General features: G+C 43.6%; 1 protein-coding gene across 30 annotated transcripts in view; it reads left to right on the top strand.

Annotated features, from left to right (window-relative positions):
* KANSL1 (KAT8 regulatory NSL complex subunit 1) overlaps positions 1-21899 on the top strand; it is a 195452-nt gene extending 173553 nt beyond the window's left edge. For 10 of the 30 annotated variants that reach the window (NM_001405882.1, NM_001405859.1, NM_001379198.1 and 7 more), the window contains 9 exons: positions 1111-1282; positions 11931-12113; positions 12600-12788; positions 13129-13277; positions 17530-17654; positions 18355-18412; positions 18623-18735; positions 19516-19768; positions 20112-21899. In NM_001405882.1, the coding sequence (NP_001392811.1) occupies positions 1111-1282; positions 11931-12113; positions 12600-12788; positions 13129-13277; positions 17530-17654; positions 18355-18412; positions 18623-18735; positions 19516-19768; positions 20112-20339 (1470 nt within the window). In that variant the 3' untranslated portion in view covers positions 20340-21899. The remainder of the gene's footprint in view (positions 1-1110; positions 1283-11930; positions 12114-12599; positions 12789-13128; positions 13278-17529; positions 17655-18354; positions 18413-18622; positions 18736-19515; positions 19769-20111) is intronic. The other 20 variants (NM_001405883.1, NM_001405861.1, NM_001193465.2 and 17 more) reach the window with 5 other exon arrangements.

The raw sequence follows: 22022 nt of genomic DNA, 5'->3' as shown, positions 1-22022 counted from the left end.
TAAAAGGCTTTCGAGATGTCTCTGCTGAAAATAAATGGAGCTCTAGTAAATGTTAGAGTTTTTGCTAGTAGAGTTTTGATGCTTTTTGTCTTTGTTCTACTACTGAGCTTGCACCTAGGATGCCTTCTTATAGTGCCATTCAACATGCAAGTTTCTTTTTCTGGGGCTGTGTGTCCAGGTGACTTTATGAGTTAGGCTTTGGCAAATGCCAGACTTGTTCATCCTAACACTAGAATGTAGGGATCCTGCATTCAGCATGACCTGAAATTTGCTCAAAGTATAAAATTGTAGATGTTCAGTTTTTATACAGAATTCAATCTTTTGAAGACTTAAATTAGTTCATATTTAACTTTGGACTTACCTGGAGAGGTTATCAATTATTCTGCCCACATGTGCACAAAGGAAGTTCAGTGGAAATAATTTCTACCCTTTGGAATTAATCTAACATGAAGACTATGAAAGTGAGCATTTGCTGTACAAAATGTTATTTTATTACTTAGGTATGAGCTTTGTAACAGTGGATTTTAGGCCAGGTTAAAGAGTAGTTAATAAGTTACTTTTAAGTTACAAGCTTCAGGGAAGCTTGCCACCTGGCTTGAGACCACCTGAAAGTCTTTTGAAGAAGAGGTGTGAAAAGAAGAGAAGAGGTGTGGTTGGTAATTGAAGGCTCCTAGGTGGATAAATTTGCTGAAGAAAGCAAGTAATGTCCCACCTGGGAATCAAGAACCAACTGTTCGTCTTAGCGGACCATCAAGGTCGTGAAAGCATGCAGAGTTTATAAAGTGTTCTCAGAAAGCACAGTTTTAGTATCTTTTTAAACTGTCAGAAGTTTGATACCTAGGTAAGCACTTAGAGCTTCAAGTAGTTAGATTTCATCAATGAAAAGGAAGCAAGTTTCCTTACCCACTTTGAAGGTCAGTGTGTTAGACAAATGGAAATCTTTTAACAAACTAATCAAACATCCTTTTAGTAGTGTCACACAAGTATCTAGAAAGGTCTTCGCAATAACAAATGGGGAGCTAACTTCTCAATAACAAATGGGGATAACAAATGGGTAGCTGGCTTTTTATCAGATGCTGAATTGTCAGTTTTGTTTGGCTTTTTTCACAGGTTCACCGGAACAGCACAATCCGCCCTGGCTGTGATGTGAATCCCTCCTGCGCACTGTGTGGTTCAGGCAGCATCAACACCATGCCTCCCGAAATTCACTATGAAGCCCCTCTGTTGGAACGTCTTTCCCAGTTGGACTCTTGTGTTCATCCTGTTCTAGCATTTCCAGATGGTAAGAAAGACCACAGACTAGAAAGTCTAATGAAAGAAACTTGAGAGACTTCTAGGTGAAAGAAAATCAGCCAAGGTGCAGTTACAACTCAGATACTTTCAAGGTACAACTTTCGTCAACCAAGTCTTCTCTTAGAATTTTGCAAAAAGACTGTAACAGATCCACCAAACCAGAAGGTGCCACTAAAAGGTTGCAACTTAATATGAGATTTCCTTCTAACTCTTCAAGTAGCTAGGAGGGATCTGGGCTCAGTTGCCTCTAGCCACAGTAATCTGGTCCAAAATACGCTTAGTATATCTTTAAAAATGTTTTGTCTGGGCCAGGCGTGGTGGGTCACGCCTGTAATCCCAGCACTTTGGGAGGCTGAGGTGGACGGATCACCTGAGGTCAGGAGTTCTAGACCAGCCTGACCAACATGGTGAAACCACCGTCTCTACTAAATATAAAAAATTAGCCAGTCGTGGTTGTGCCTGTCTGTAATCCCAGCTACTTGGGAGGCTAAGGCAGGAGAATTGCTTGAACCTGGGAGGCAGAGGTTGCAGTGAGCCAAGATTGCACCATTGCACTCTAGCCTGGATAACAGAGCAAGACTCTGTCTCAAAAAAAAAAAAAAGTTTTGTCTGTGCGTGCCATGATATAATGTAGGATGGACGGCAGTGTTCTAGGAGAATATCTTCATACTGGCATTTATGTGGTAACGCGACAGCTTTGCAGGGTGTAGATAAGCACAAATCTTCGTTGTTAGCTTGTACTGTCTTTCTAAAGTTTGCCTCCCTGTTAAATCTCTGTGTCTGACAGCCCTCCTTTCCCACCTCCCTTCCCATACCTGTACCTCTCCCACTTGACAAAAGAAGAGCATTCCTTTTGGCCATATTGAGTCCCACTATGGGTCTTGCCCCAGAGTGTAAAAATCTTGAGGCTCGGTGTCGTGGCCCACGTCTTTAATCCCGTCACTTTGGGAGACCAAGGCAGGCAGATCACTTGAGGTCAGGAGTTCGAGACCAGGTGTGGTGGCTCACGCTTGTAATCCCAGCACTTTGGGAGGCCAAGACGGGCGGATCATGAGATCAGGAGTTCGAGACCAGCCTGGCCAACATGGTGAAACCCCTTCTCTACTAAAAATACAAAAATTAGCAGGGCGTGGTGGCATATGTCTGTAATCCCAGTTATTTGGGAGGAGAATCGCTTGAACCTGGAGGCCAGAGGTCGCAGTGAGTCAAGATCATGCCACTGCACTCCAGCTCGGGCGACAGAGCAAGACTGTCTCAAAAAAAAAAAAAAAAAAAAAAAAAGGTCTTGGATGGTGGGGACAACAAATAAAGAGATCATTTCTAAGAGTTCTCAGCACCTGAAGGAGAATCTCCCAGGTATTAAGCAAAAAAGTTTTGAATTTTAAAAATAAAATAGAGATAACTCAGGAACTCCTATCAACCAAGTCTTCTCTTAGAATTCTCCAAAAAGACTGCAACAGATCTACCAAACCAGAGGGTACCACTAAAAGATTGCAACTAAGAGATTTCCCTCTAACTCTTCGAGTGGCTGGGATGGGTCTGAGCTCAGTTACATGGTCCTATTCCTTGTCTGTCTTAGAATAAATACTGAGTTAATATCTAAAGTCTGATTAGCTAAATAAGTTTAAAAGAAGTTTTTTTTTTCAATTAATGAAGCTAAATATATTTACATGCCAAAGTTTTGATAAAAATGTTTTTAAAGCATTATGTAGTATTCAAATATAATCTTTACAACTATCTGAAATTATGATTTTTTAAAAATCACATATCAAATGGGGGTGCATGAGCAAAGACATTTTGAAACCACTATTCTAGATGGAAGCCAGCGCTTTCATAATCTGGATTGGTTTCATTGAATTTTCACGTAATCTCATGATCTGTGCCCAGCCTACAGAAGGTAGGAATTTCCTCTCAAATCACTGGTGGGTTTTTGTTTTTGTTGTTGTTTTGTTTTGAGACAGAGTCTCGCTTTTGTTGCCCAGGCTGTAGTGCAGTGGTGTGATGTTGGCTCACTGCAGCCCCCACCTCCTGGGTTCAAGCAGTTTTGTCTCAGCCTCCCAAGTAGCTGGGACTACAGTCGTATGCCACCACGCCTGGCTAATTTTTTTGTATTTTTAGTAGAGATGGGGTTTTACCATGTTGGCCAGGCTGGTCTCCAACTCCTGACCTCAGGTGATCCACCCGCCTCGGCCTCCCTAAAGTGCTGGGATTACAGTCAGGAGCCACTGCACCTACCCTATTGTGTTTTATCAATATGTTAATGAATTATGTTATGGCTGTTTGTGTATTTGCTTTCTGTTATTTAAATTTTAGGGACCAGGCACAGTGGCTCACACCTGTAATCCTGGCACTTTTGGAGGCCGTGGCGGGTTCATCATCTGAGGTCAGAAGTTTGAGACCAGCATGGGCAACATGGCAAAACCCTATCTCTACTAAAAACACAAGAATTAACTGGGCGTGGTGGCACACGCCTGTCGTCCCAGCTACTCAGCAGGCTGAGGTGGGAGGATCAGCTGAGCCCAGGAAGTCTTGGCCGCAGTGAGCCATGATTGAGCCAATGCACTGCAGCCTGGGGAACGGTAGTGAGACCCTGTCTTGGTGGCGGGGGGAGTGGGGAAGGGATGGGATGTAATCTCCCTGAGGATAAGGGCTCCATGCTGTTCTTCATAATATCTCCCAGGTAGTCTGTAAGTTTTTTTTTTGTTTTTTTTTTTTTTTTAATTTTTATTTTTTAGATACAGGGTCTTGCTCGGTGCCCTAAGCTGGAGTTCAGTGGAGTGATCACAGCTCACTGCAACCTTGACTTCCTGGGCTCTAAACAGTCCTCCCACTTCAGCCTCCTAAGTATCTGGGACTACAAGTGTGCACCACCACAACCTGCTTCCCCGCCTCCCGCCCCCTACAAAGATGGGGTCTTGCTATATTGCCCAGGCTGGTTTTGAACTGAGCTCAAGTGATCCACCCATCTTGGCCTCTCAAAGTGCTGGGATTACAGGTGTAAACCACCACGCCCGGCCTGAACTTTTTCTTCAAGGGCCATATGGTAAATATCTTAGGCTTTGCAGGCCATATAATTGATGTCAGTTCATGTCACAACTGCTCAACCCTGTCATTGTAGCACAAAAGCAGCCATAGACAATATGTGAACAAATGAACCTGATTGTGTTGCAACAAAAGTTTATTTATAAAAACAATCATTGCTAACCCTTGTCCTAGAGAGAATCCTTCTAATTGACAGTTGATCAAACATTAGATAACTATAATCCCCTGTTCTGCATCTGTTCTTCAAATGATTGCATTTCTGGCCACCTAAATCCAGTAGATACCGGGATTTTTGGCTTTTGTTACCAAAACCCCCTAGCTGTGATAAGGATGTGGTGTAATATTCCTGTGGCCATGTGATTTCTTGTAAGAGAAAGGAAACAGAAAACCTGGAACACATGGATAGTCAGGAGCTGGTGGAGCAATAAATAAACTTGAACACAATGAGTGGAAAACACTAAAACATTTTCCTCTGTGCTTCAGATTCCAGAGTCACTGACTTTTACCTTCCCTTGCCATTGGATTTATGTAGCCCATGTAACTGCAGTTACTATTTGTATAGCATTTTAAAGTTTGTAGTACTCTTCTCATATTTGTCTCATATGCTGCTTTCAAAATTCTTTTTTTTTTTTTTTTTTTACTTTTGAGACAGTTTTGCTCTGTCACCCAGGCTGGAGTGCAGTCGTGCAATCTCGGGTCACTGCAACCTCCGCCTCCCAAGTTCAAGCAATTCTCCTGCCTCAGCCTCCTGAGTAGCTGGGACTACAGGCACGCGCCACCACGCCCGGCTAATTTTTGTACTTTTAGTAGAGATGGGGGTTTCACCATATTGGCCAGGAGGGTCTTGAACTCCTGACCTCGTGATCCACCCGTCTTGGCCTCCCAAAGTGCTGGGATTACAAGCATGAGCCACCGCACCTGGCTTTTTTTTTTTTTTTTTTTTTTTTTTTTGACAGAGTCTCACTCTGTCACTCAGGCTAGAATGCAGTGGTGTGGTTTTTGGCTCATTGCAGCATCGGCCTCCCAGGATCAGGTGATTCTCCCACTTCAGTGGGTAGCTGGGACTACAGGTGCACACCACCATGCCTGGCTAATTTTTTGCATTTTTAGTAGAGAAGAGGTTTCCCCGTGTTGCCCATGCTGGTCTCAAACTCTTGGGCCCAAGCGATCTACCCATCTTGGCTTCCTAAAGTGCTGGGATTATAGGCATGAGCCACCATGCCCGGCCCAGAAATTTTGTAAGGTGTTACTTCAGTGTTAGTGCTCAAGGAACAGGCTTGGTAAGGTTGTGGCTTATCTAAAACTAAATGGCTAATGGGTTTGAATGCCTTCACAGTTCAGACCCAGATTATCTGATGCCTGTCCTTCCTTTTACTATATTTCAAGTTCCTTTCCAGACAGATTATTAAGAGGAGTCAGATTTTTACCCTTTTTGGGATTCTGGCTACAGACAGCGCCACTAGGAAGACTTAGGAATGTTTGTTGGGTTACTCTCTGAATTACTGTGTTGAATTGTATAGTCTCATACTTGAAGAAGGACAGGAAGCCCGGACACTTAAGCACACTCATTGGATATCACCTGCTAAACAGAACAGTCATTTCTTTGTCAACAGCATTACCACATACAGTTGCAAATAACCTCCCCCACCCTCAGATATACCCAGACTGTGTGTCTCTCAGCTCCTGTTCCATCATTCAGCATCTCTACTAAGAGGTTCCATTTCCCTTGAACATTTTCTGTCCTGCTGACTGCAGGACACTATAGATCTGACATGAATGCTGCCCTGCCGCATACCTTACACCTCCCACACCATCATTCAGAGCAACTACAGGCAGCAATGAGGGGGAATGGAAAGAAAGATAGGGAACACTCCCCCTTTTCTGGTCTTTATGGTTTTTATTTTCCTGCATCTAATCCTATTTGTTTTTCTGTCTATGTCTCACACACACACGAAGAGCTTCTAGCTATGGCCCTGGGGTTTGGACGAAAAAGTTGGTCATTAAATTCTCCTTATGAGACTGTGGAGATATATATATATTTTTACATGTAGGCTCTATTAACTACTGTATTTGCCTGTAGATTAATTACACCTCAGTTGGTTGACCTGAAGACCTGATTACCATGTCTAATATTATTCCTGTTGGAATAATTTTGCTTTGACCCAAACAACTGCCACATTCAGAATGCAGTCCATTTGGAAATCAGAAGATTCCCATGGGTGCAGAGATAGCCAACTCCAAAGGGCACCATTCACATAATATCCCGTGTAAATAACACACCCCCTGAAGTCTTGGGATTCCCTGTACATCATTGTATAGCAGTAAATAACAGTGAAGGCTAGCAGCTTGGCATACGACTGTGTAGGTCAAACATTTGTGTGGTAGATTTTACTACTGGGCCACCCTTACAACCTCTTCTCTAGAAGATGTTTTAAAGTGGCAGGATTTCCAACTTTTTTTTTTTTCATAACAAGGTTAAAAATGATTTTGATTCATTGATTCCATATAGTTACATTTATACCAGACATAAAGGCAGAAAATTGTTTGAATGTGATACTTAGCTGTTTTCTGGCCCCATAGGACAGATATTTTTTTAAGTAGTTTTAGTGCTGTTTCCTAACCAGTTTGTGTAGTTTGTTAGAATAACAACCAACTGCTGCTTTTCATCCTGGAGTTGTGCCTCGCACCTTGACTGTACCTCAGCCCCTCTCATTAAGTGTGTGTGGGTGATAGAAATTGAGGGACTGTGTTATAGCCAACTCTACGCCTGGCTGTGGAAGGTGGAGAGACTAGGGTATAATAACCTGTTAGTATTCCAGCAGGAAGGGGGCTTTGTTTTATCACCTCAAGTAATCAAATCCAGTTAATCCTTAGTTGGAAATGTAGAGGATATATAACCTTGGAGAAAAGCTTGTTAACTTTATAAAAGGGGCTTAATAAGAGCACCACCTGCTGGCCATGAAGATCTGTGGTATTTTGAGAGAGCTTGCCAAACCCTGCACATGAGGCTACAGCAACTTCCCAGCAGGAGGAAGAAGTGAGCATTACAAAACACCCGGAAAAAGTGCGCCTGAGAAAATGGTGGAAAGTAAGGAGCCAGACAGCCAGGTGAATCGTGGAATGTCAGACCCTAGTCATCCTGAAGTCAGGGTCTTCTCATTCATCTTTCATTTTGTTTGAGGAAACAGTAACTTAAGGATGACATTAGTAATTCGTCTTATTTTCCTGTTATTTACCTGATAAGGATCAGCACCCTCTTCTCTGAAAATAGCAGTTTACCTATGTGGGTATGGAATGTAGGAGACCTCTAGCTGAATGGATCTCTGGTGTGTTCTCTTCCATTTCATATCCCTTTTTTTGCTTACTTTCAGGTCCCGTATCCAGTCTATTTTAGATTTTTAACTCTTCACAGAACCTAGGTATTATCACTTACTAGTTAGTATATGAACTCAACCAGCAATTCCTAAGATATCTTTTTTTTTTTTTTTTACTGACTGGGGGATCTAACTGGGTTCCTGTTCACTCTTAACATGGAAGCAATTAAAAGGCAACACAGCAAACTTCTAACAAAGTCTAGCAGCTGGAGTTCCTTAAACTGTTTATACTGGGTTTAAAGAGGAATCGCTCTTGATTCCGCTTAATACGTCAACTGGAGAGTACAAGGTAGTGTTCCATGACTTGGGTTCTACAATGTGCCAACTTGCACTTAAGAGCATTTAGTTGAGGGGAAGGGTTTAGGAGTGGAGTTCCAGTTGAAGAGTCATTGACTAAACATTTTAGAGTTGAGAGACTCATAGCAGTCATATAATCTAGCAGTAACAAATAGATGTCCTTTCTTGTGCCTATTCAAATGAATTGACAGTAACTGTCTGGAGTTATTTAATGTATTGTTTGGGAAGAATCTGAGGTCTCCAGTACAACAGGAAAGACAGCTGTGTTTGTACCTCCAGTACAACAGGAGGGTTAGAGAATGAATGCTAGAATGTTGCCAGCCCTGATCTAGCCCCACTGCCTCATTTCACAGGTGGAACTAAAGCCCAGCTGAATGATTTGTTCTTGCTTTCTCCTTCTACTCGAGATAGAACCAGGACCTGAATCCAGGCCTACTTGTTTCTAGTCATTGCTGTTTTCACTATAACCAGGTCTCTCATATCCCTGTCCCTTTTTTTTTTCCTGGCTTCATTTTCAGATTTGGGAGAACGATGGGGGAAAATAAAAGGAAAAAATAAAATCTATGTTTTTTGGAGTTCCATTACATATATATACAAAACATACACAGCCTTTGCCAAGTGGGAGTAACTCTTCTGCTGACAAAGGGGTATTGTGGGATGGGCAGAAGTGACCTCGTCTCCTTTCTTGAGCCTCTTTTATACATTCCAGCTCAGCCCAGCTTTCAGATTGTTTTACAGGGCCGAATGCTTCTAGACAATGCTTTATTTCCTAGGATTTGGTATAGCTGAGTTTTTAAGTGTGGAAAAGAGTGATTATGAAAAATGTTTGAGAAGACAGCACTGTCCTCAGAGACTGTGTTTTTACACTTGGACAGGTAGCAAATGTTTGTTTTCATTAAAACTTTAATAGTTTTCCTAATTTGTTTCACTGTCATAAAGCCCAGCAATCATGGAGCTGAGGGTGCTTACCCACTGGGAAAAATCATCCCTGAGAATGTTAGCTTTTTTTTTTTTTTTTTTTCCCCAACTCAGATTTTTATTCCAGTCCTGGAAGGCCTAACATTCAGTCCTCGAAGGCATAACATTCAGTGTCATGAAATTCATCATCTATACCATAGGCAGGAGTGGCTAAATTTCTTTTACTCTGCAGAACTGGCTTGGAAAATATTTTGTACTGTCTATTTCTTGGGAGTAATTTGAGAAATAATTGACTTTACTACAGAATCCTCTCCATCCTCTGGATCAGTGAGTAGCCTCAAGGTATATTGTCTAAGAGTATGGGCTTTAGGGTTGTATAATCTTGAGTTTGAAAGTTGGTTGTTACTCATTAAACTATGTAACCTTGGACATAGTTAATGTACCTTTCTGCACCTGTTCCCTATCTTTAAAATAAGCATAATTGTGTTTGCCTCATGGAACTGTTACAAAGATTAAGTGGCACACGCATGATGATAAACACACAGTGCCTGGCAGATAATAATGGGTTCAGTAATGTTAATTTAGACGTCTCTTCCCTGCCTTCTTATCCTCAGTTCAGATTGAGCATATCCTCTGTGCTCTATGGGACCCAAAACCCCATAAGCTTTTAGAAAATATATTAAACAGGCCGGGTGCAGTGGCTCACGCCTGTAATCCCAGCACTTTGGGAGGCCGAGGCAGGTGGATCACGAGGTCGAGATCGAGACCATCCTGGCTAACACAGTGAAACCCCGTCTCTACTGAAAATACAGAAAACTAGCCGGGCGAGGTGGCGGGTGCCTGTAGTCCCACCTACTCAGGAGGCTGAGGCAGGAGAATGGCATGAACCTGGGAAGCGGAGCTTGCAGTGAGCCGAGATGGTACCACTGCACTCCAGCCTGGGCGACAGCAAGACTCCGTCTCAAAAAAAAAAAAATATACACACACACACACACACACACACACACACACAAAATAAATTTCTAATAGTTCTAGAAGACATGCTATCAGTGACTGGAATTTGTAATTATTTTTGAAAGATGGATAAAGACAAGATAACTGTGAAGAAATAAATAGAAAGATAGCCCAAAGCACATGCCAGGAGTAAGTTGCTGTGAGGTGGGAACTGATTACAGGAGGTTTTTGACCCAGAATTAAAGGGCAGAAGGAGTAGTGATAGGACCTGGGCATTTGTCTGGGTGATAAATTTGGACTCATTTTGGAATAGCTAGGTTAGATTTTCCTTTCCTGTCCTCTCACCCCACCAGAGCCTTCTTCCTTGAAGTAGTGGTGTTTCATTCTATTCTGAAGCAGTGGATAGGGACTCTGGCGGGAACTTCTGAGCATGCCCCAAGTGGTTACCGATTCCCAGGAGGAACTGGGAGGTGAGGAAAAATGTGCTGGCTTTTAGATTTGAATATCCCTGGAAAGCTTTGCAGAAGCTTGAAAACAGACTCACACCGCTATCCATGGTGGTGAAATGTCAGAATATTGAAAACATGAAAAGGAAAATCTAAAAGTTGTACATCAGCACCAGAGGTTCCAGTCAGAGTAATAGGCAAGAAGTAAAAAAGGAATACAGATTGGAAAGAAAAGGTAAAACAGTCTCCATTTGTAGATGATGTACTTATGTCTATAGAAAATCCTACTGAATAAACAAGAAAAAGTCTATAACGAAGTAGTTTCACAGGCTACAAGGTCATTATATAGCAGTTTATTGTACTTCTATATACTAGTAATGAAGAACTGAAGTTGAAATTTTAAAAGGTACTATCTTTAATCATTTCCATCTGAGACTTTTGTCAGCCTGGCCTTCACTGCCCGTATTTCTATCAGTATTTTGGTCAAAACCATTTAACAAATCTCTAAGAAGTTCCAGACTTTCCCTCATCTTCCTGTCTTCTTCTGAACCCTGCAAACTCTTCCAACTTCTGCCCATCAGAAAACATTAATTCTTAGGAATAAACTTAACAAATTGTATTTAAGACCGGTATGTCAACAATAACTAAACGCTGTCAAGAGAAAATCAAGACAAACGTAAATAGATGGAGAGAGAGATACCACGTCAGTCGATTGAAAGATTCAGTATTGGTGGTGGAACACATGGAAGTTGTCCCCAAATTGATCTGTAGAGTCAGTGTAATACCACAAGTTTGTTGTTGTTTTTTGCAGAAGCTTAAAAGGCAAAAACCAGACCACCTACAAGTAAGAAAGAATCCGATTCCCTCTTAAATATAGCACTGGATATTAGAATACACGGAAGAATTGAATAGCTTTAAATGTTTGAGAGGAAAATGGTTTAAATCTAGAAATTCCTTTTCTAAAGGAATTGCTCAAGGATATATTCTTGGGAAAAATCTAAGAAAATGGAAAGATAAGAAACAGCATAAAAAATTCAGTCCAAAAGATGTTGATTTGTGATATTGAACATTAACCAGTCAGCTAAAAATCCCCGATAATCTCATGATGGGAATTGGCGGAGCCACAGAGGAAGGAAAGAGAGAATGGTATGTAGTTCTTATTTGGAGAGAGTATGTAGTACTCAGTACAGTGCCTGATAACATAGATAATGAATATTGTTGAATAATTGCATCCTGATTAACTTTATATTGATAGAAAAGAAGTAGGCTTAAATATGTTTTTAAATCTCTAGAATAGAAACAGGATGTTTTCAAACCAGTAAATTCAACAAACAAGGATACAAGAACAAAAACTCCATCAACCAAACCAAAAAGGTGTCTTGTTTTGTTTCCCTTTGGGACTTGAAAGTAAAAAGCTAAAGTGACCTGCTTGCAAATAGAAGAATGACCTTCAGTAATGTTCACGTAAACAGATCTTCCATATGACAGCACTTGCCCTGCCAAGTGTCAGGCCACTGGGCAAATTAAAGGAGGATGGAGTGTAGGTCTTGAACACTAGAGAGGCCAGGTGTTTGGACTAACCTGTAGCATTTTATGTTTCTTGCAGATGTTCCCACAAGCCTGCATTTCCAGAGCATGCTGAAATCTCAGTGGCAGAACAAGCCTTTTGACAAAATCAAACCTCCCAAAAAGTTATCGCTTAAGCACAGAGCACCCATGCCGGGCAGTCTGCCAGATTCAGCTCGTAAGGACAGGCACAAATTGGTCAGCTCCTTCCTAACAACAGCCAGTAAGTGTCAGGGAGCCGGGAAGTCCCCCAGAGTATCAGTGACTTTTCATTCCTTTTATATTCTCAAATTTGTAGTTTGCATGCATGTTGGGGTTGGGAGAGGCAGTTGACCGATAAAAAATTCAGCTCACAGTGACTGCTTCTGCTTGTCTTGGATGCTCTCAGATGGACTTCGGGAGCTATTCTAGACACCATGGATCTTGGAGCAAGACCCAAAATGCTCAGTGAACAGCCAGCAATGGCATGGCATTGAGTTCATCTACGGGCAGGTGTCTTCTGTATCCTGGTGACATGTTTCTCTGGTTCTGGGCTCCCTGTGCCTATCCTAGCCATTGTGCAAATTACTAGAAACTTCAGTCCTGAAGGACTGTCCTGCTGCCCTGGGTATACGGCGTTGGCCTAGAGAGAACTCGAGAGCTTGGAACTCGAATAAGAAAATATTTGAGAGGACATATTTCACAGCTCTTTTTCTGTTCCCCTCTTCAGAGCTGTCCCATCACCAAACCCGGCCTGACAGGACCCACAGGCAGCACTTAGACGATGTGGGGGCCGTGCCCATGGTGGAGCGAGTGACAGCGCCAAAAGCAGAGCGCTTGCTCAACCCACCACCACCCGTGCATGACCCAAACCACAGCAAAATGAGATTGCGAGACCATTCATCTGAGAGAAGTGAAGGTAGGGCCAGGCCCATGGCACCTCTACCTGCAACTGCACCTGCTCAGGGCTTTCTGGGGCAGCCTAGGCTTCTCTTAATTACCCCCAGCTTTGTCCTTCACTTTCTAGGAAAGCAGAGTAGAGGGACGCTACTGCTTCTAAATGGAGGTCACTTCTTAACTGCTACAGCAACCTCTGCCCTGCCCCTACTTCCCACAGCTAGTGTGCTTCACCTTTTTATCCTCTAGGCATAGAAAACATTTTTGCCTTTAGTATGTATTGCTGCCATTCCAAGCTTGTGTTAGAAGTAACGCTGGTTAAGATAGCCATGTATTTCTCTCTTTTCTGTTGACTTCTGCAGTGTTGAAGCATCACACAGACATGAGCAGTTCGAGCTACTTGGCAGCCACCCACCATCCTCCACACAGTCCCTTGGTGCGACAGCTCTCCACCTCCTCAGATTCCCCTGCACCCGCCAGCTCTAGCTCACAGGTTACAGCCAGCACATCGGTAAGTACCTGTGTGGGGTTGGCCGGACACCCCCTCTGCAGGTCACAGCTCACTCAAGTGGCTCCAGAGGACAGTGTGAGGGTGGGTTATAAAGCCCAGGGCATTTATAGGATCTCAGCTCATCATGACATATGTATGTATGTCTGTACCATTTTTAAGTCAAAGTCATGGTACTTGACCTTCTGTTGTTTTTCTTGAGTTGTTTTTCATAGCAGAGATGGATTTATGCTGAGCCATCCATAGAAAGCTTGATGCAGGGACAAACTCTTAAGGTGATCTGTGACTATTCAAGATCTGTTGGACTAAGTTTCACACAGGACTCAACAGTTCCGTGGCCCTAATCCTGTTGGCCCAAGAAGTGAACAAGAGAGGAGGGGTGGGTAGAGGGGAGATTCCCATGGGCGTTGGAAGCAGTGTTTGATTTCCTTGGTTTTACTCTCTGGGTGAGTGGAGGTGAAGTACTAAGAATAAACACTAGGCGTGAGGGTACCAGAAGAGAAGGGAAGGGAGAAGGCAGAGTCCATGCTTTTTAGGTATACAGAGCAGAATTACAGATCCAGCAGGCCCCCATGGCAGGACATTTGGCATGCACACACCAGATTTTACGATACCACACTCCATCTGGAAGCAGTTTGCACAGCTATTCCAGACACATTTCCTTTAATTTCATTCTAATATTTTAATTCCTCAAGTGTGCCCTCTTGGAACATACATACCTGTAGCTGCTATGGACCTACTCAAAGGGTCCTTTTTGTATAATAATTACAATGTAATGTAATGGTAAATGTAAAAGTCTGCAACTGTAATGTTTATTGAACACTTACTACATACCAGTGATCAGTGATTTACATGTGTTACATGTTATAATGCCTTTTGAGATGTAGGTTGGTACTGTGGATTTCATTTTATATGCATGAAAACTGTCAAGGCAACTTGTGAGGGTTATAATTATGATTCAAACTCAGGCAGCCTGACTGTAGAGCCAGCTCTTTTACCATTACACTACACAGGCTAAGCCTGGGTGAGGGTATTGCAGAGGCAACTTAGGAAGTTCCTTCAGAGCCTAGATCAGGAAACTTCCAAGCTCATAAAATGGACTCACTAGGCTCCTGTGATCAGGTAGGAATTCACATTGTTCTCTCTTTGCTGTTACAAATCAATCTTTTCCAAATGGTCTCTTTGCTCTTCGACTTTCTTTACCCCCGTAACCCACAAATTTTATCTAAATAGGTGTGTAGTGTCCCTCACATACTCAGTTATCCAGCAGCAAAGGGTTTCAGATAACCAAAGTATTTATAAAAAAGAGTCTAAACTAATTCTGATAGAAAATCTGAACTCAGAGATTCAGGACTTGGTGAGCACTTCAATATTTCTGTGTCTGGAGAATGTTAACTTAGGCCTGGATCACTTGAAATTTTTACCATTTATTGAGTAAAAATTTTGTGTATAGCACTATGCTAACCCCTGAGGCTCTCTCATTGCCAAGTTTTTTCAAAGACTCTGGATTTATGTAAAAGAAGATAGGCCAGGCACAGTGGCGCTCACCTATAATCCCAGCACTTGGGGAGGCGGCTGAGGCGGGTGGATCACTTGAGGTCAGGAGTTCGAGACCATCCTGGCCAATAAGGTGAAACCCTATCCCTACTAAAAATACAAAAATTAACTGGGCGTGGTGGCATGTGCCTATAGTTCCAGCTACTCTGAGGCAGGAGAATCACTTGAACTGGGAAGCGGAGGTTCCAGTGAGCGGAGATCAAGCCATTGCACTCAAGCCTGGGCGTCGCAGCAAGACTTCGTCTCAAAAAAAAAAAAAGAAAGAAGATAGGCCAGATAACAGCAGGCTCTCAGTATCTGCAGTATCTGCAGTGGGGATTGGTTCCAGGACCTCCCATAGATAGCAAAAGCTATTGTTGCTCATGTCCCTAATATAAAATGGCATAGTATTTGCATATAACCTATGTGTATGCTTTAAATCCCATATACTTTAAATCATCTCCAGATTACTGATAATACCTAATGCAATGTAAATGCTATAAAAATAGTATGCTGTATTGTTTAGAGAATAATGAAAAGAAAAATCTGTACCTTTTCAGTACAGACACAATTTTTTTCCCCCAAATATTTTCAATCCACAATTGGTTGAACCCATGGATACAAAGGGCCAGCTCTCCTTGAAATCAAGTAAAGAAGCCAGAGGACACTGGAGAAAGGTAGGGAGGAGAGCGAGTGTTTTTGTCAGTGCTTCCCAAAAGCCAGTAGCTGCATCAGAATCACCTCAGCAGCTTTAAAAAACAAAACCAACCAACCAGACACTTCTAAAGATCTGATTTGTTGCTGGCTGTGATATTGCATGCCTGTAGCTCCAGCTACTCAGGAAGATCTCTTCAGCCCAGGAGATTGAGTCCAGCCTGGACAACATAGTGAGACCTCATCTCTTAAACAAACAAACAAACAAAATTCTGATTTTATAAAAGAGCGGGGGGGAGTCCTAGAACCTTTTTTTTTTTTTTAAAAAATACTCCTTAATGTTGCTTCTGATATACAACCAAGTTTGGGAACCAGTTTTATTCTCATCACCTGCTCTCTATCTCTGGCTCTAAATAGGAGATAGTAGTTAATTTAGACCTAATGAGTAGCTAACATAATAGGGGGTGTGTCTAGGCAGAGGATGAGATAAGAGCCCGTTGAACCATCCCACAACCTGCTCCAGTATCTTTTTCTCGAAGGTACTAACAACAAGCCCAAGAAGTTTCAGGGAAAGTGTATACCTGTTTCTGCCAGCAGTTTCACATTTATTCTTGACCAAGATACTGGGAAGGCTGTCTCTCTTGAGGCTTTCTTAAGATGCATTTCTTGTAGTGGGATGTATAATTTCAGCACAGATCTGGCAGTGGCAGAGGTCTCTGGGTATGAGATCACTAATCCTCAGCTACAGAACTCAGGCAAGATCCCCAAAAGTCTGTTTAACCATTTTGGTTAACCAGATATCCTAAATTTCTGAGGTCAATGGCAGTCATCTGATTTGATAGAGAAAGAAATTGAAGTGAAAAGGGCATTGTGGTCATCTGAAGTTATAAATGACAGTGACTGAAACTCTGGCCCAGGAAGTGCTGACTTTTAACATTCTCTGAGAATGTCCTAAGATGATAGGATGAATAAAGGGTATCTCACCGTCCAGGAACAGAGGATAGAGGGGTTAGTTATAGGGGACTTCTTACTCCTCCAACCCCTTCCCTGTGGACTGACCACACTTGGTGGTTTAGGTATAAATGCAGCCTCTTAGGTGTTTTCCAGCTGTTTTGTTGCCATGGCAGCGTGTTTGTTATGCCACTGTTTCCTTCTGGCCTCTCACAGCTCAGTTGCTAGTCTCTGTTTCAGGATAGGGTATTAACTATCTGGGCAGCAGCAGCTAGTAGACTTCTTCCTCCATCCAAGAGACTAAGCCATTTAGTTCCCTAGTCTCCCAGCTACTGTAGATGCTTACCTCTGCCTCTGATATTCGATCCTTGGAAGTCTTATTTTTCCAAGAGTTTGGTCTTCTCAACTATTTCCTATAGAAGCAAATTTCCTTTCACCAGGAATGTGAGGTATAGTCAGGTTCTCCTCTTTAGTTTCCCTCCATTCATCTCCTTTGATACAGCTAGAAAGCTCTCAGCTCTTTCCCCAAGAATCATCAAAAGAGGGGAAATCACATAAAGACTGGGCAGATGGTGGGTGCAGATTTAGCTGAAGAGTTCAGATCTTTGAGAAGGAGGTGCATTCATGACAACCAAGGTTAGATGATGTATTGAGATGGGCCTATCCTTTGGGCCTCTTTCAGCATAAGCTTTCAAGCATTGCTTTTAGGGGAGGGGCCACTATGAGTCTTAAGTCATAAACGGGGATAAAGGAAGGAAATAAAGATTGTAAAAGGAGAGGAGGTTAATAGAGGTGTATATAGAGTAGGAACCCCAACAGTTAAGATCCCAGGTACCCACCCCTATGAAATTTACGCATGAGCCCTTGAAGGAAGAGGGTGACCAGTGGGACTTATGAATGGGACTAACTCCTCATGACCACCTGGTATTTCTCCGTGAGGTTTTTTGCTGTTGGAGACTGACTCCTAGGTGGGAGCAGCTGCTATGGTCATTACTCAGCTTCAACCCAAGGACCCAGATGCTTGGTTATTGGTGATCCTGCTTTAACTCTTAGATGAATGATTTGATGTCTGTAAAATTGTACCTTCCTTTTAAACTTAATTTTTATCTTACAGCAGCAGCCAGTAAGGAGGAGAAGGGGAGAGAGCTCATTTGATATTAACAACATTGTCATCCCAATGTCTGTTGCTGCAACAACTCGCGTAGAGAAACTGCAATACAAGGAAATCCTTACGCCCAGGTAGAAGCTCAGAATAGTTGGCTCCTCTCCCCATTCTTCCTGCTATTGCCCTTTTTCCCTCTTCTCTTCTGACCAAGAGTTGGGCCCTAGTCTTTGGTTCTGTCTTCTCATTAAGAGAAATTCTTATCTGATAAGAACGAAATTATTTCTGTATATAGTTCTCTCTCATTCCATTATAGGAATACACCAAACGAACCAGCAGTCACAGCCTGGTAGGCCATTCACTTACTGGTCTAGAGACCGGTTTTGTCAACACATACAGTATGTTTTAAAATACTGAATTTGTTGTCAACATCAAAGCAGGATTTCACATAAAAATCTTTGTTTCCAGCTTTTGTTGCCAAACAGAAGATTAGGCAACCCTGGGTATGCATTTCCATATGGGAGCAATCAGCTGGTCCTGAACAGTGGTGGTCCTCTTTAAACAGGTTTCTTTTCTTGTGTTTGTCACAGTCTCTCAGCCTCAGCCTTACCCTAGGCCGCTTCTCTCATTTCTGGCCTTCTTGGGCATTTGAGTAGGTGGCCAATTTCACAGGCCTTGACAGGGTAGGGAGACTGAGCTGTGATAGGGCAGAGCCTACCCGGCAGAGAGCAGTGTCACCCACAGGTGCAGGATTCTCATCCTTGCATGGACACTTTGACCCTGCCCCCAGTTTTAGCCTGCTTGCCATCTCATGATTGTCTGTTCTTGGTTTTGCAGCTGGCGGGAGGTTGATCTTCAGTCTCTGAAGGGGAGTCCTGATGAGGAGAATGAAGAGGTAATGGCCTGGTTCTTCTGTTAGAAGAACACGTGTGTACACATGCACACATACATATGAGTGCACACACCCTAAATGGCCTGAAGACTTGTGGGTGTGAAGTGCAAGCTCCTTGTATTCCTGTCGTGACCGGGAAGAACCTAGAATGGGGTGGGACTGGTTCTTAACTCCTGGAGAAAAGAGGGGATCGATGAAGCTGCTCTATTGCAGATTGAGGACCTATCCGACGCAGCCTTCGCCGCCCTGCATGCCAAATGTGAGGAGATGGAGAGGGCACGGTGGCTGTGGACCACGAGTGTGCCACCCCAGCGGCGGGGCAGCAGGTGATGGGGCAGGCTTGGGTCCCCAGGGCCTGTGGAGAGAGGGTGGACAGGGAGTTTGGGCCCTACTTGAGTCCATGGAATTGCTACTGCCTCTTGGTTGCTCATCATACTCATCTACTGGCAGTGGCAAATAGCTCAGAATTTCCTTGGTGTTTGTTGGAACTAGTGGAGATACATGGAACTAGTGGAGATATAAGGAGCCAAGTGCTAGATCCTTGCTGAGAAGTCACTATGTAATTCTGAATTCCCATGATCTGTGGCATTTGGAAGACAGTTGGGGGGTCATGGTGATTCAACCCGGGGAGCTTGGAAGGCCTCGCTACAAGTTAACCTTCCTTTGGACAGTGGCTTTGTGATGCCACTTGAAGAAACTGCCCCCCCTTAACGTCCATCACTACCCTGTCTCCATTTATTGTTAACAGTGGCAGAAACCCTCGGGATTCTCAAGTAGAAAGTTTTGGGAGCTCTTACTTTTACTTTTTTTTCTTTGACTACAGTTTTCAAAGTCTACACGAATCTCCCTAACCTCCTGAATTCACTAGGCACTTTGCTATGGACTCACCTGGCATTGTTCAGCCATGCTTTTTTCTTGGGATGGTAAATGTTGTATACCTACCCCTCCAGAGAATAGTGGGAAGAAATGGGAGTTGCTGGATCCTAAGGAAAATCTGTTGGTGTTTGTTTGCCTCAACTCCTCCAGTGGGGATGCTTTTTTCATGCCCTCTACCCCCATAAGTAAACATTTCCCAGGCACTCAGATTTGCATTCCTTGGTGTGCAGGTCCTACAGGTCATCAGACGGCCGGACAACCCCCCAGCTGGGCAGTGCCAACCCCTCCACCCCCCAGCCTGCCTCCCCTGATGTCAGCAGTAGCCACTCTTTGTCAGAATACTCCCATGGTCAGTCCCCTAGGAGCCCCATTAGCCCGGAACTGCACTCAGCACCCCTCACCCCTGTGGCTCGGGACACTCCGCGACACTTAGCCAGTGAGGATACCCGTTGTTCCACACCAGAGCTGGGGCTGGATGAACAGGTAAGGGACGCAGCCTTTGGGTGGGGTTGGCATGGTTGGGGGATGGAACCAGGAAGGGGCAGCATCTGCTGAAGAGGGACCTAGCCATCCCCTCCCCCTTTTGAAGGGACAAAGGGCTGCACTTAAATTGATCTCCTCAACGTTCAGTGGAACTGTATTGATCACTGCTAAATGATCAATACAGTTGTCTGGGTATACCCTAGGAGGGGTGTTCCCAGACTGTCGCAGGAACACTAGATAGACTGGTCCTAGGCTCCAGGCCACAAGGTTTGTGGCAGGGCCTTGGAGCAGGAAGCAGGCTGGCTGGGACTGGGTCCTCAAAGAGCAACTTGTCTGCCTACAGTCTGTCCAGCCCTGGGAGCGGCGGACCTTCCCCCTGGCGCACAGTCCCCAGGCGGAGTGTGAGGACCAGCTGGATGCACAGGAGCGAGCAGCCCGCTGCACTCGACGCACCTCAGGCAGCAAGACTGGCCGGGAGACAGAGGCAGCGCCCACCTCGCCTCCCATTGTCCCCCTCAAGAGTCGGCATCTGGTGGCAGCAGCCACAGCTCAGCGCCCGACTCACAGATGAGCGGGAGACAGCCATCTAAACAGACTCACTAACTATTGGCATTAAAGCTTCAGAAATCTCTGCGTTTGATATTCAAACATCATATGCCGGAAATTTTCACAGTTTTTAGTGAACTTAAGGAATTTAGATCCTACTTTGGTATTTTTTTTTCTTGTTTTAATTTTTGTTTTGTTTTTGTTTCCATGTTTTCTTGTCACACACCTGAGCACTTCCTCCCGTTGGCAAACAGAAGTTCAGGATGAGACCCTGCTGGCCTGGTCCTGGCACATCCTCTGCACTGTTGAATCACTGGACTTACTGATCTTAGATGACCACCCCCTCCCTCACACCTGTGGGCAGGGCAGAACAGCCTGGCGGGCTACAGTTTAGCATGGCCTTCTTGAGCTAGGGTGGAATGGGGCAGGGTGCTCTGGACTCTTACCCCCTCCCCTCCCATCTGTGGCTTGGCTCTGCTGTGGCCCTCCTGGCTGGGTCCCCTTGGTTTTTCGTGCTGGAACATCCCCACCAGAGCCTCTCTGCCATAACTGCCAGCTGCTCTCCCCGAGTGCTCAGCTGGCAGAACACCTTTCCTTTCTCACCCAGAACTTAAGAGACTGATTTTTTGTTTCATCTGCATTTGGTCTTCTCTGTTTTGACTCTTTCACTGCAGTAACCTGGCTGTGGCTGCTCAGGTTCCCCTCCTCATGCCCCTTGGTACCCTTCCCTGTCTGCTCTCCCATGCCATGTACACACCCACAACCCGTCCTTCCACTTGGAATATTTTTACCACCTATCCTGATCTTTGAAGGTAGGGTTAGGACTACTTAACCTCTATTCCCACTCCCCTGCAAACTGGGGGTTGTGGGAAGTGAGCAGCCATCTCCCTGTGTGATTTTTTTTTTTTTTCCCTCTGATTCACTTTGCCATGTTTCCTTCACATCCAGATCCCTGTCGGTGTTAGTTCCACTCTTGGTCTTTCACGCTCCCCTTGCCTGTGGAACATTGTCTGGTCCTAGCTGTGGTTCCCATTGTTCCCCCTTCACCCTTCTCTGTTAACCTTGTGCCTGTCTCCTGTATGATCACATCACCAAAAAGGGGGAGGGGGGAGAAGACTCTTTTTTTTTGGCCATTTTGTAATCGTATAAAAATAGTAGACAACTGCTTAATGGTTGGGGTTTTTTCACAATTTTCAACATTAGTGATTTTTTTTTCTGTTTGCAAGTTAAAGGGTTTGTCATTGTTTCTTTAAAAAAAAATACAATAATGCACCATATCCCTATGCATAAAGTGCTTCTTCTATTTATAAGGTTGAAAATTCTGAATAACCCTTTTAGCATTGAAAAAAAAAACAAAAACAAAAAATGGAAAAAAAAAACCTTGTATTTTGTAAATATTTTCTTTTCCTGCTTTGGAGCTGTGTAATGGCAGCGAAACATGTAGCTGTCTTTGTTCTATAGAAATGCTTTTCTTCAGAGAAGCTGATCTTTGTTAATGTCTTGATTCTGTTCGCAAAGCACAGACTAGTGCTTAAAAAAAAAAAAGAAGGAAAAATTGAAAAAAATAAAAAAAAAAGTTACAGAATGCTGTGTACCAGGCCTTTCTTGACTTACTGAACTGTGTATGCATGGTAGTGTTGGCAGTTTCGGAGCTGGCTCTCTGCCGCCGTTCTTTGGGGTACTCTGACTTGCTCTATACCTTGGAAAA

The sequence above is a fragment of the Homo sapiens genome, chromosome 17 (assembly GCF_000001405.40).
Source record: "Homo sapiens chromosome 17, GRCh38.p14 Primary Assembly".
In the NCBI taxonomy this organism is placed as follows: domain Eukaryota; kingdom Metazoa; phylum Chordata; class Mammalia; order Primates; family Hominidae; genus Homo; species Homo sapiens.
This window is presented reverse-complemented; position numbering and strand designations above follow the sequence as displayed.